The following is a 15,467-nucleotide window of genomic DNA, read 5'->3' as shown; positions in this document are numbered from 1 at the left end:
TAAGAAGAACATCTCAAAAACCTCATTGGTGTTCTTAAACTGAGGGTGGAGACAGGGCGTGCAGGCTACTTGAGGAAAGACTGGGATGTGTACATGGAACTCACTTGCTCAATATGAATCCATGGCAACCTCAGGTCTAGGCCAGAAGTCCTATGGAGTATTTCCTTGCAGAGGTTGGTGGTAGAAATGCAGTCTAAGATGAGCCATTGACTCAGCTGGAACTAACTAAAACCAGCAGAGATGGCTAAGCCACTAAAGAAACAAAACTCAACAAAAAATATGGTTGTCCAAATGCCCATCAATTGATAGACTGGATAAAGAAAATGTGACACATATATACCATGGAATACTATGCAGCCATAAAAAAGAAAGAATTCATGTCTTTTGCAGGGACATGAATGAAGCTGGAAACCATCATTCTCAACAAACTAACACAGGAACAGAAAACCAAACAGCACATGTTCTCACTCATAAGTGGGAGCTGAACAATGAGAACAAATGGTCACAGGGAGGGGAACATCACACACCAAGGCCTGTCGGGGGGTGGGGGGCAAGGGGAGGGAGAGCATTAGGACAAATACCTAATGCATGTGGGGCTTAAAACCTAGATGACAGGTTGATAGGTACAGCAAACCACCATGGTACATGTATACCTATGTGACACAATTGCACGTTTAGCACATGTATCCCAGAATTTAAAGTTAAAAAAAAAATGGTTGTATCAAACCCCAAATCTTGAAAATATAAAAACTTAAAAAAAAGTAACCCACTCCCCTTGAAGCAAGGACAGGCGCAACTTACACGGGAACAGACATCCTCTGAAATGCAATTATTTTGCCTTTTGTTTGTTTGTTTGCTTTGTTTTTTCTACTATTTCTTTTTAATTGAAAGAGTAATAATGCAGTAATAGAATTATAACTGGTGGCATCACAGGGCTGCATATTAGTAACCTTAGCTGAAGAGCTGTATAAATATCTCATGCACATGTTCTGAAAGAAGTGGAGCTTTATGGCCCAGAGTGATAAGGAGGAAAAAATAAAAAATGCCTCCATACATTCAAATTTTATTAAAAGTTGAATTAAAACATAAACATGTGACAGATTTTAAAATTTAATTATTTGCAAAAGCGTTTTTTGAAATTTACCTCCTAATGTTTTGCCTATAAATTCATGTTTTTATAAATGAACCTTTTTTATTGCTAGAAGGTGGCAGGTTCCACATCATTCTTATTCCTATATCATTATTTTTATAAGATCTAAGAACTGAGAAATCTTGTTCTCAGAAATAAGTGGATAGGATTGGAAGGGCTTTGTTATAACAATGACATTTGATTCTTTGAACTCCTTTGAAGAATGACAACAAAAATTGCAGGTGTCCATTGACAATTCAACTAGGTATTTCTTCAAATTTTTAAAAGTAATTAAAAATCTAAAACAAAACAAAACAAAACAAAAAACACAAATGATTAGCAAGATTTTGTTACCCAGTCATCAAGGTGACTTACTTTTGAGAAGTGGAGATGAATGTTTTGAATTGCCCCTTCGTTTTGCATCCTGGAAATTTCAACACCTGGAGACAAAGCACCAAGGTAAAGTTAAAAAAAGTGGAGATATATTTTTCTCTTTTAAAAAAAGAAACATTGTGGGAGAAGAATTCTTTTGAAAAAGAAGAAATGAAAGAGGGACAGCAAGAATGATGAAAGAAGTATTCGAATGTGACACCTGGAAACCTGTTCTTTAAAAGTCTTTGCCTGGCCGCAGTACGCCTCACAAAGTCTTTGTGTAATCTCCAGGGTTAGCAGGCCTCAGATCAAAATTAGAAGCCTAAATGGCAAACTAACCAAACTGGTTTTTTTTTTATAAAGTAAAATCTCTCAATTCACTTTTAAAATAAACTTAATCTTGTTTGAAGTGTCCCTATGACAACCATCTCAATACTGAATTTTAATTATATGATAGGTATGTAGCTAATTACATCAAATAATAGTTAACAGTTAAATCGATCTCTGGCTGTATTTTTATTTTTATTTTTTTGAGAGCTTCTCTCTCTGTCATCCAGGCTGGAGTGCAGTGACATGATCTCGGCTCACTGCAACCTCTGACTTCTGGGTTCAGGCAATTCTCATGCCCCAGCCACCCAAGTAGCTGGGACTACAGGCAGGCACTACCATGCCTGGCTAATTTTTTGTAATTTTTTTGTATTTTTAGTAGAGACAGGATTTTACCATGTTGTCTAGGTTGGTCTTGAACTCCTGGCCTCAAGTGATCCATCTGCCTCAGCCTCCCAAAATGCTGTGATTATAGGCGTGAGCCACTGCGCCTGGCCTCTGGCTGGTATTTTATAAACTTAATAATGAAGAACTGATTCTCTACCGAAAAAAAAAATGTATATATACAAAAAAAGAAAATGGTGAGGTATGGTGGTGCATGCCTGTAGTTCCAGCTACTCAGAAGGCTGAGGTTGGAGGATTGCTTGAGCCCAGGAGTTCAAGGCTGCAATGAGCCGTGATCATGCCACTGTACATCAGCCTGGGCAACAGAGCAGGACCCTGTCTCATAAAGAAAAATAACAACAACTACCACAAAATGAAGAATTGGTGAATGTAGTAACTAGATCCAAGTTCATGGTTCTTACAGTTACCACTTCACAAGAAAAAGCCTGTAAGATTTAAAGCTGAGGATCACATGGCTAGTAACACTGAAAGAAGCACTATAGAACAAGGGAGATGAAGTCATTCTGAACATTCAGATTACTTATTTTTAACAAACAACTTAATATCTCTATCTTTTATATACTTTTCAGATTATAAGTGTAATTATGCTTTAGAGATAAAGACAACCATGCAAAATCGTCAAAAACACTTCCTTGTAAAATGAGCCCTTCCTTCAGCTGACAGGGTTGACAGGAGATCCCAGGTGGGGAAAACACACCAAAAAGATTTTTATACTTAGGCTTTGCTCCACTAGGGACATTCACAAACAATCTCCAGGACATATTGGTTTCCTTGGGACTAAGGTATTTGTACAATGTCCATTTATAGGGGGTTAAAGTTCCTGTGATAGTGGTTGAAAGTTTTGACCCACTTTTACAGATTAATCAGCATTGTGGTGGTTACAGAATTTCCAGATAAGGCATGCTTGCTCTTCTCTAGACAAACTCATCCACGATATCTTAGTAACACTGATTCTGAGTTACCTTTAGTATTTTAGGTAGATCCACACAGTGTGATTGCTAATGTTATTTGTACGGATTTAGGAGCCACCGAGTGGCTATCATTGAACTGTCAAATAAATCTCAATACCTAGTTAAAATTCTTTTACAAGTAACTTTTCATAAAGAGGAATAAATGTTTACAGTAAGGGAGTATTTTGTTTACTTGGGCAGCTTTCTATGAAGAGGAGCATTTCTTGCAAAGCAATATGCCTGAGAATTAACTTTAGATTTCATTTCTATTTCACTGGAGTAGATATGTTTAAATTAACTTATAATTTCTTAAGGAGTCAGATAAAACATTAATTTTCTTTTTAATTTCTATACTTGCAGCTAAGAGTCGAAAATGAACCTAAGAGCCCTTCATTCCAAAATCATGCACAATTTCTAGTGCTTGTCTACTATCTACATAAATGTTCTCTCTCTCATATACTCTTCACTTTTTGCCTCAGGCTGGATTGTGAGTTCCAGTTACAAAAATTGATTCAGCAACCCAGGCAGATGGAGTCTTCAGAGATAAGAGAATATCCAAAACAAGGTTAATTTTCTCTATTCTAGGTGAAAACTGTCAACAGATAATGTAAGATCAGAGTTAATTAAAGTTATGCCATTTAAGTCAGTTTTGGACAAGATGAGAGTTTGAATCACTGTCAGCTAAATATGTGGTTGTCCTTCATCCTGGAGGGGAAAAAGAAGGCAGTTTAAGATTTGTGCATTTTTGCTAATGTTATGAGATGTGAATAGCAAAGTAATCTCATCAATAGTAATAGTGTGGGTTGAAATATACTGTGTTACCTTATAGAAATGTTTTCTATCATACACGGGACCAGTTGGATACTGTAAAACTGACAGGGAAAAGAAAGTAAGAGGATTCTACTAATTAAACAGTATCTACAAGATTTCACAACAAAGGGGACACTGTTTGGTAACATTGTCTGGAAGAGTATTTGTTTAAGTAGTAAGTAAAGGTTTGGCATAATTAAGTTCATTTAGTGTAAGGGTTGCTACAACGTTTCCTCAATAGTTATAAAAATAAGCTAAGACTGCTCAAATGAAAAGAAATACAGGTTATTCAGTCAGAGCTTGCTGTAGCCAGGGAGTTGGCCACCATCACTTGCAATATGGCAACGAATCAAAGGCAGGCAGGCAGTGAGAAAGCTTTATCGTGGGAAAACCAGAAGGCTGCAGGAATGCCCTGGTTGGAAATTATTGTCATGGGGAATCTAAAGGTTGGATAACTAGAAGCAAAACATCCTATTTGATGGGTGAAGCTGCATAATTAGCATTCTCTGGTTGGTTCTAAATTGGAAGCTGGAGGGAAACACTTAGGGAAGCTGGAAGTTACCCACCAATTCCTAAGCATTTGGACCAATTGCTGCAGACTGGTTGCTGCAGAGGTCAGAGTTGATTTTCTGTGTGTGGAACCACCATTGTCTGTTAGTGTATTCAGTCTCTCATAGTATAAAGGCCGAAACTGCTTCAGGATCCAGATAAGAAGCTCTAGAAATTAGAATTTATTAGGGTCATGTAGTCCTTAGTCTGCCTCATGGACATAGTGATTGGTCTAAAGAAGCATTCTTCATTTCTGCTGCCCTAATCATATTATTCCAGCTTCCACAGACTGATTCAATAGGTCCCGAAGCTAAATTAAGAACCAGGATTCTTCAATAATACATTTGAACTGGAAACAAAGAAAGAGTAAGACTCCGTTGGAAAATGGGAGACTGTGAAACTAGGAATTGACAGTGACTATCTCTACAGCTGTGACAGACGTTAACCTGAGAGATAAAGCTGAGACCCAGAAGGCAAAGAATGTTACATACACAGAAAGAACATGTAAAATTGGAGCATCTATGTTTCTGCAACACATGAAGTATAACAATACCCCACCTTTCTTGAGATATTGCCTATGAGCCAGTTAATTGCCCTCGTTTGTGAAACTGTTTGTCTCCTGCAGCCATTGAATCCTGATTAATACTCATTAAATCTCTATGATGTCATAGTATATATCAGGCACTATGGCTCATATTATTGTTTTCCCCTGATATTTGGTTATTTTCTTTTCAAGGCACATGGAGACGGACCTCTACCTGCAATGCCCCCCTTGCACTTGGACAGAACCATGTGACTATTTATAAGCTATGACACATGAGCAGACATGACATGACGGGATTGATGGAGCAATGACCTCATCTTTTCTCCTGCCAAATATTATGAAAGAGGACTCAAGTCACTCACCTGAGGGACACTGGGTGAAAGTCAGTAATGAAGCTGAAAGGTCGCTAAATGCTGGCAAGTGAGATGGATTATAGTGTCTAGACTTTTTCCTGAGGTCATTCTATATCCAGCAGATATCTTTCAGTATATAGTCTATTCAGAACAATGTGCTAGTGACTATTGAGTGTGGTTACATTCTTTTTTTTTTTTTTTTTTTTTTTTTTTTTTTTTTTTTTTTGAGACAGAGTCTCGCTCTGTCCCCTAGGCTGGAGTGCAGTGGCACAATCTTGGCTCACTGCAACCTCTGCCTCCTGGGTTCAAGCAATTCTCCTGAGTCAGCCTCCTGAGTAGCTGAGACTACAGGCACCCACCATCACGGCCGACTAATTTTTGTATTTTTAGTAGAGATGGGGTTTCACCATATTGGCCAGGCTGGTCTTAAACTCCTGACCTTGTAATCTGCCCACCTTGGCTTCCCAAAGTGCTGGGATTACAGGAGTGAGCCACCAAGCCCAGCCAGTTACATTCTTTAAACAAGGAGTGGACGTACCCTGAAACAAGAGATTAGTCAAAGAGATTTTGCTATTCATGGGACCTAAAAGGTGGCTGTACTTCCCTTTACTGCTTTTCCATACACAGCAATGCACGCTGTATGGGTTCTTATAGGTCAGAGAGTGAAAGAGAACCAGGACCTATAAAAGAATACAAGTCTCTAAAATCAGAAAGTTTATTATTTAAAAAAATAGTTACGTGCCAGTCTGCTTACAATTTATTTTTATGACTGAGAGTGCCTTTCATAAGCACATTCTGGCAAACTATAAAACAAATAAATTGAAATTGAATAAAACCTTAGACATTAGAAGTGTAGCACCAGATTTAGTACATAACTGCAAAACTTAAACATGCAATTTTACATCTGCAAGCACATTAAATTGAAAGAAACTTTAACTTAATTTAGATACATTAATTGATACAAACTTTTCTGGTATATAGCACTTCTTGGCGCATTGAGTATTCTTAATCTTTAAGGCACATGAATATAATACCTTAGGAAAGATCTGTTCTCCACACATTTCCTCTATAAAGTGCCAAAAAAAAAATAACGAAGAGCCAGTTTGTCTTCCGCATCAGTGTGATTTAGCATACATAAATAAGTATCTTTTCACACAAAATAAAAGGTTCAGAACCCAAAGTGTCTGATTTTTATAGTGCTTTTTCTTTCCTTTTAAAAAGATAGCAAGATGAGGGTAAGAGGTAATTTAAGAGAAGTAATCATCTTCTAACAGCCAGCTTGCAGAAACTAAAACAAATATCAATGATGTAAAAATGTTGTTTTGACACTTTGGTAAATGAAAGTGTGAGATGAGTAAGAATATATTATAGGTGCTTGTATATCAAAGGCCTGTGAAAATGGCTGATTATAAAGGAGAAAGTTAATGATCTCTAATTGTGTTGTAATGTAAATGCAGTATCACCGTAATGAAGAGAACAGATTTGCATGTTAACAAAAGAAATATTAGAGGAGTGAGTGTAGGATGTTTGGGATAATTAATTCCATCCTCCACTCCTACATACATATGCATATACAAACTCAATTCAATTTTAAAGAGAACCCGAAGAACCAAAAATAGACTGAACACACTTGATGTTGTATGGGAGCTTAAATTACTATTTTTGTTGTTCTCTGTGACTATCTCATTTAGTTTCTATTGTGTTTGCAGTTTCTTCCAAGGTGATTTTTAATGGATTGAGTAATGCATAAAAATTTGCAGAAGTATGCAGAAAGTTTGTATGCAGGGCCATGTAGAGCTTTTATCCTACAGTAAATCCTAGTAGTTTGCTGGTGCTGTGTGATTTTTTTTGTTTGTTTAGGGTTTTTGTGTGTGTGTGTGTGTGTGTGTGTGTGTGTGTGTGTGTGTGTGTGAAGCTTATTTATTCCATTTCAAGAAAAAGAAAAATAGACAAATTAGAATACCAAAAATAATTTGCAGCCAGTATCAACCAATTTATATTCAAGCTGAAAAATTAAAATAGCTTTCAGAGAATGGTAGAAGCATATTATTTAAAAAACAAACTATGAAGAAATGGACAGAAGCATGTAGACATAGATAACAGAAATTTAAAGTAAAAAGTAGAAAATGAAATTATTCCCTTTTATACCTGAAAGCAAATGATTTCCATGATTCTAAGCCTCTGTAAAAAGCAGCAACAATTTCATCATTTTCCTATTCACTCTTCATATTATCTAAATCAGGATTCTGCAAAATTATTTTCCTTGAATTACTTTTAAAACATACCAGAAATGAATTCACTACTCTAATTATCACAGCAATTCAGGGAATTATTAAAAATCAAATCAAATCAAATGAAACTTCGTAAGTTGTTTACAAAAAAACTTCAGGTTCATTTGCTTTTAATGCAAGACATGGCAATGTATCTCGGCCTGTGGATGTCCTCTCCATGTTAATAGTAAGTGCAAGTTTATGAAAAGACTAGACACCGACACCACCTGGGGAAATCAAAGCTTACTTACCTAAAATGCACAGGAGCCAAGAAGCATGTTTAAGTTCATGGGAGGGTAATGAATGCTGTTCTCTAGAACATGTTTCAAGGAGCTGGACACGTTTCCTTACCAGGGGAGACTCACACTGCAGATCATAATTTCTGAGCAAGTGAGAAGTGAGAGTTCCATTGCACCTGTGGGAAGCTCTATCCTCCAAAGTGTAGCTTTACACACCCAGCTTGAGTCATTCTTCTTTCAGGTGTATCTGGACATACTCCAGGGACTAGCTTATCTGTGCCTGGTGCACTTCATTTATCACGATTAAACAATATACAATTTGACTGAAGGGCACAGTATAGGTCAGTGCATTTATGCATAACAGCAGGACTTATTAATCATCCTCAGCTCCTGCAGGCTAAGAAATCCTGCTTAAAATTTATTTGCATGCTTAGAACTAGAACAGAGCTTCGAAACTAGAATAAGGGTCACTTACTCTGATGTCTCTGGAAGCTCATGAGGTCAGCCCTGAACGCTAAGTTGCACTTCTTGAAACAGTTTTAATGCCCACGGCTATCTCCCAATTCATTCTGAGTTTGAGAAGGGAAAAAAATGAAATGATATTTAGTAGACTCCTATAACAGTTTGGGTAACACCAGCTGTTTTAACAAACAATCCTCAAAGTTAAAGTGGCTGAAAGTTTAAAATGTGTTTCTCATTAATAACATTCAAATAAAGGCATTTCTTGTCTGGGTGGCTTTTACCAGGGAGTAATTCAGGAAACTGGCCTCCAGTATTGTAGCTCCAACTTCCTAGAGGGCTTCAGAGTTCTCCTTTTTCAAATGACACATGTTGAAAGAACTGGAAGAAACATTTATATGTACCACCCTCTAAAAGTGGTACACATTAACCGGGACACAGTTGCATGGAAATATAGCCAAGCTATGTATCCAGAAAGAAGAAAAAACAAGTGTGGTAAAGAGCTATCAGTCTATGCCTCAGCTTTTCAAAATCCAGTCTTACGGCGCACAGATCTAGAGAGAATATGTAGACCTTATATTATGTAAAGGCATTCACAGAACTATTTTTGTTGTTGTTAACATACTTGAGCTTCCCTACGGCAATGTTCTTGTAGGTTTCCCAGACTAATAGCCTTCAAAATGGAGGTGAATATATACATACAAGAAAAAAATAAGTAACTTAAGTCTTCTAATAAGATATGTTTTATAAAAATATGAAGAAGATATAGTAACAGCTCCTTACAGCAGTGTAAGACCTTTCTTTCATCCATCTCCTCACCTATGGTTACTATCCTCACAATCCCATTTCCCTCTATGTACATTTTACTTTATAACATTATGTTCTCATACACAAAAAATACAATAAAAAATTTTCCATTATCCAACAGAATTTATAAAGCCTACAAAATTTCTAAATATATCATTTTATATGTAATGAATATGCTTGTTATTTCCCATTAAAAAAAAATGCAGCGGCCGGGTGTGGTGGCTTATGCCTGTAATCTCAACACTTTGGGAGGCCGAAGTGGGTGGATTGCTTGAGCTCAGGAGTTTGGGACCCACCCGGCCAATGTGGCAAAAATCTGTCTCTACTAAAAACCCAAAAATTAGCCAGGAGTGGTGGTGGGCACCTGTGGTCCCAGCTACTCATGAGGCTGAGGTGGGAGGATTGCCTGAGCTCAGAAAGCGGAGTTTGCAGTGAGCCATGGTTTTATCACTGCAGTCCAGCTTGGCGACCACTTGTTCTTTTTTGCTTGTTTCTTTGTCTTTTGCTTTACTTTGCATCATAGAGATACGGGTGAAAATTTCTTTAACCCTTTAAGTGTTTCTACTTTGTCTCATATGCTATACCTCATTTGTTACTTGGAGTATACTCTTGGCCATGCTATTAGAAATGGATGATGTAAAAATGGCGCCCCCTGAAGTCAAGCAATGTGAAACATTTGTAAATCTCTACAACAAATGCCCTAAATTGTAGTCGCTTAATTAAAATAATTATTTTCTATTTACTGTAATAGTCAACAGGTAAGAAATGCAGTCTTGCATGGATGTCCCACTAAAAAATATATGCCATCTTTTAGTCCGTTGATACTTAGCATATTGCCCTCATCTTCATGGACAAAAATTGGCAATTTTTCTGTAAAATCTCTCTTTCATATTACTGATGACAAAATTCTGCACTTTATCTGAGGAAGAAAATGACAAGACTGACATGTGGGACTCACTTCTCACTGTATAATACCATCCTTGGCTCCTGCCCCAGGATAATTTTGATATTTTTAATTATCAAACCAAAACCAATAAGTTATATAAAATATAGGCAAAGTTACATTCACTGGGAGAATTTTAGCACTCTCAAAATAACATATCAGTTCCTATTATCCAGTAAATTCCTACCACGTCCCACGCTCCCGGAAGTGTGTCCGGATTCATGTTTTTCTGATAGGTGAATGCAAAGTCACTAGCCATTGCCATTTGCCAGGGATTCAGAGAGACAGAAGTGTGGAAATTAACATTTAGATGTATGAGAAATATATGCAAGAAACTGAGACTGAGCAGGCAATTTGTAGATTGCATACAGTGTAGCCTAAACATGTTTGCTTCAGTGAATTTGTCATTTCTTGCATGGGGTAAGTCTAAAATTATTTATTGTTTAATTTTTTTCATTAGAAATAAACCCTCTTGGAAGTAATTAAAATGCATATTTCACAAAAAATTAGTGCGATGATGATGACAATCATGTAACTTGCAAAACTTGAGTGTTGTTTTATCACAAACCTTATGAAAACAGATGCATCCTTGCCTTAAAAAGGAGAAGGAAAAAGGAAATGCTCTGGGCACAGCATGAAGCCCAGAAAAAGAATATTTCCAACAGCCCCATGGACATATGGAGAGGATAGAACTTAACAGGGCTCATCATCTCTGGTCATCAGAGAAATGCAAATCAAAACTACAATGAGATAGCATCTCACACCAGTTAGAATGGCGATCATTAAAAAGTCAGGAAACAACAGGTGCTGGAGAGGATGTGGAGAAATAGGAACACTTTTACACTGTTGGTGGGAGTGTAAACTAGTTCAAACATTGTGGAAGACAGTGTGACGATTCCTCAAGGATCTAGAACTAGAAATACCATTTGACCCAGCCATCCCATTACTGGGTATATACCCAAAGGATTATAAATCATGCTACTATAAAGACACATGCACATATATGTTTATTGAGGCACTATTCACAATAGCAAAGACTTGGAACCAACCCAAATGTCCGTCAAGGATAGCCTGGATTAAGAAAATCTGGCACATGTATACCACGGAATACTATGCAGCCATAAAAAAGGATGAGCTCATGTCCTTTGTAGTGACTTGGATGAAGCTGGAAACCAGCATTCTCAGCAAAATATCACAAGGACAGAAAACCAAACACCGCATGTTCTCACTCACAGGTGGGAATTGAACAATGAGAACACTTGGACACAGGGCGGGGAACATCACACACAGGGGCCTGTCGTAGGGTGGAGGGATGGGGGAGGGATAGCATTAGAGGAAATACCTAATGTAAATGATGAGTTAATGGGTGCAGCAAACCAACACGGCACATATATACATATGTAACAAACCTGCACGTTATGCACATGTACTCTAGAACTTAAAGTGTAAAAACAATAATAATAAAAAACTTCCAGCCCAAACAAAAATAGTATTAGCTACATTCAGAAGACCCCACAGAAAGGGTATAGTTTCCCACAGACACCCTACTAGAAAGCAGCTTCGTGGACAACATTCACCTCACCGTTTCCCAAAGATCATCATCATCACATCCTCTGCCTTAGAACCTATAACAGTGTCATTCATGGGGATGCCTCTCGCTCCTTAAAAAGTACTGAGAAAATTATGAGACAGAGAAGAAAGGGGGAGGGGATACAATTAAACTTTGTTTACAGAAGCCTGGGCTCTCCTGACTTTGATTTTGCTACTAAAGTAGCCGTGGGGAAATATTTCTTGAAACAATAAAAATGATTGACTTAGGTTTCAAAGTTTTTAACTCACAATAAAGAATTTTTTCTCCTTTCTCTTGCACTGTTTTTCATAATGATGGTATAAAACATATTAAGGTGTTATCACAAACAATTACTTCATGAGATTATATTTGAGTTTGGGGATTTCAAAGTCATTTTATTAAAATTAGCTGTATTGTTACACATTTTGTCTGGAAAGTCTAAGTAATGTCATCAAAAGCCCAGTTTAATTGCTTTGAAAAAGCTTATGCTTGACATGATATTCAGTCTCTTAGATTTCACAATTCATTCTCCATGTATTACTACTATGACTGACTTGTTTGTCTCTTTTTGAGTTCCTTCTAGAATTCAAAAGCATTAAGATTTAAGTGTGGCTGACTGCCACGGTTACTACTTGAGACCGTCATTACTAGACTGAATGAAGAGACGAACATAGAAATGGTAACAAAAAACAAAAGAAACTGTTTTAAGGAAAGGCTAGCATGGGGAAGAAGAGAGCTCCCTGCTTCTAGTGGTCCTCATTCCATCTTTGCATTCAGATTCAACTGGTTCATGGTTCATACTGGGGGAACAAGGTCCATGGTTGGGATCCATGGGTCCCTCCAGTCTCCTGTTCAACGGTCGTACACACCTTGGGAGCACCCACTCGGTTTGTTCATCTTCTGCAAAGACGTAAGTATACCCTCGTCCCCACGTTAGTAAATCTACCAAACAGAATCAAAAGTGTTTTCTTTTTTATTTATTTTTTATTTTTTTTTGCTGTAGCCGGGAGGCAAGCCATTACTGAAACATTTGTAACTCAGCTTCTGCCTCTTTGGTTAATTGCCGTGGGGTAAAACTTTCCACTGAGAACAAGAAGCAGGCTCTTTCTGATTAACACACGGCACAGAGAAAGCAAATCGAGGCTTATCCTTCTCGTAAAACAGTATAGCAAAAAGCAATCCTTAAACCTTCAATTTGCACTGTACAGGTGGGTCCACTAGATGCTATGGGTGGTGATAGATAAATCTCTCTCCTAGTTGCACTTCCAAATCCCTGACCACCTCGCTTCTTCTTATGTGGAGAAGGGTACAATTTACAGGGAAGAAGCGAAAATTGAGCAACGTATTGTCCCAGTTCAAAAACTCAAAGATCTTGTGACATTACCACTACCTGAATTTCTCCTTCACAATCAAAATCAACAACTCCTGGGCCTGTAAGTTAAGACAGCTTTTACCAAAATCAATCCCATGTATCTTGTTGGCAAAGATCCCCAAATACCAATGTGAATCTTAGTGAGTTTGTTTCTTTCATTTAATGTAATTGGTTCTCTGGGAGATCTAATCCTGCGTTTCCAGGTGTTCCTGGGGAGAGGGAATCCATGTGCCTCTGGAAACCCATCCCTGAAACGGAGTTGTGGCCTGGACAGGGAACGCCCTCATAGTTTGAGGTGCCCGGGTCCAGGCCCCCTTCTTGCTTCCCAACAGGGGGGTGCCGTTTTGATGAAATTTTGAGTGGTGTTGATTAGCCCAATGATTTCCTTTATTGCATCGAGGGCAAAGTCCGGCATTTTTTTTCTGTTAAGAGGGGGACTATGTTACAAGATCTCTTGTTCACAGAGGTCTGACGGCATTCTCTTTTGAAACGTCCAAGTTTTCTACACTTATGACACTTTCCCACTTTAGGGCTTGACCCTTGGCTTCTTTTAGATCTGTCAGCCACCAAATTTGCTATTGCCTGAGTCAATACTGCAGAGCAATGAAGCTCAGTTCCCACATCTTGACAAGCTCTGAGAAAGCCTCCCAAGTCCTCTGCACATCTCACAGGTGCCAGTGCACGTTTACAATCCATGAAAGCCAAAGCTAAAGTTAGCCTTTCTGTAGCCACCAAAGAAGACGATACAAGGCAATTTTCATTCTCCCTCTTCTGTTCACCATTTTCGATAGGCACTGTAGGTGGGGCAAAAAATTCTAAATAACAAAAAGATGGTACATACCAAAACTCCAAACAAACAAAAAAGAGAAAAGAAATAGCCAAATTCTTCCTCGTTTCCCTGTTTTAAAAACTTCCCATTCTTTGTACCTCTAGGGCACTGACCGGTACCTTTTTAGAGCACTAACCTTATGTCGCTGCCAACAGAGTTGTAATGGGCTTTCTCGTTCATCTAGTTGGTTTTAGTTTTTTTCTGTTCCAGCAGACCTTCCTCGCTCTAGTCCTATAGGACCCTATCTGTCCCTATCTGTCCCTGTCTGTTCCTCCAAATCTCTCCTAGTCTTTGCTAGTCTCTACTTTTGTACCTCTTTAGGACGCAGACCAGTACCTCTTCAGGGCACTGACCTTATATTGCTAGTCTTTATCTATTCCTATCTGTCTCTGTCTGTCCCTATGGTACCTGTTAGTTCCTGCAAGTTCCTGCAAGTCCCCGTCTTTCCCTACCTATCTCTACTTTTCTCTACTTACTTATCTCTACTTACTTTTCTCTACTTACCTCTACTTATCTCTGTTTATCCCTGCAGACCTCTTCAGGTCCCTCCAGGTCCTTTCAGGTCTCTGTATGTCCCTGATAGTCTCTGAAATGTCCCTGTTCAGGCACCATTTGTAGTTGACTGTCACTGCTACTACATGAGACCATCACAAGTATGTTGAATTGAGCCTGGAACTCCTAGATGATAAACATTTTTTTATACCAACCTTCAACTTTTTCATTAAAATTAGATTGGGTAGATACTATAAATAGTGTCCCAAGCACTAGTGGAAAGATTCTACCATGTCTTACACTGGTTACTATGAGTTTGGAGTCAGAGGTATAAGGCTTGAAGAAAAAAGCACAATGAAATACAATTTTATCCACCAATCCGACATTTTTAAGTTTTAGGAAAATTGTGTCTTAATTCAAGCTGCTATAACAACAACAAAAACAACATACACTGACTGGTTTAAACAATAGAAATTTACTTCTCGGAGTTCTGGAGGCTGAGAGTCCAAGATAAAGGTGCCAGTCAATGGTTACAGGTAAAACCTCCATTCCTTGTCATGTCCTCATAAAGAGACAGAGAGAGAGACCAGACAGAGAGAGAGAGAGAGAGAGAGAGAGAGAAAGAGAGAGAGAGACTCATGACCTAATTATTTCCCAAAGGCCCTGTTTCCAAATATCATCTCAGTGGAATTAGGGTTTTAACATACAAATTTTGGGGGCGACGCAAGTATTTTTAGTCCATACCAAGTTAGATGCAACTTTACCAAAATTATTGTGGGTAATTTGACAAGGTAAGAGAGGTCAGTGAAACGCAAATTATATGATAACTTCTTGGTGCTCAGGCAGTATACCTGCCAGGTTGTCTCCTGGCTAGAGGAATGAAACAAGTAGTATTCAACAAGACTTTGGTAGTGAGTAAAACATGGCATATAAGTTGTTTTTTGTGGGAATGACATAGTCTAAATATTATTTTGATGACATACCTGTGTATTGACCTCTCTTGCATCAAAATGACATAAACATGGAGAAATAATTCTGAAAGTCAGC

General features: G+C 38.1%; 1 annotated feature.

The window, feature by feature from the left end:
• Positions 6,645 to 7,146: an enhancer, noted in NCBI's record as "NANOG hESC enhancer chr5:69068631-69069132 (GRCh37/hg19 assembly coordinates)". NCBI's record gives its function as "activates a minimal SCP1, AML or CMV promoter by ChIP-STARR-seq in primed H9 embryonic stem cells {active_cell/tissue: H9 hESC(primed)}" and the evidence as "EXISTENCE:reporter gene assay evidence [ECO:0000049][PMID:30033119]".

The sequence above is a fragment of the Homo sapiens genome, chromosome 5 (assembly GCF_000001405.40).
Source record: "Homo sapiens chromosome 5, GRCh38.p14 Primary Assembly".
Taxonomy (NCBI): domain Eukaryota; kingdom Metazoa; phylum Chordata; class Mammalia; order Primates; family Hominidae; genus Homo; species Homo sapiens.
The sequence above is the reverse complement of the archived record's forward strand: the minus strand, read 5'-3'. Positions and strand labels throughout refer to the sequence as shown.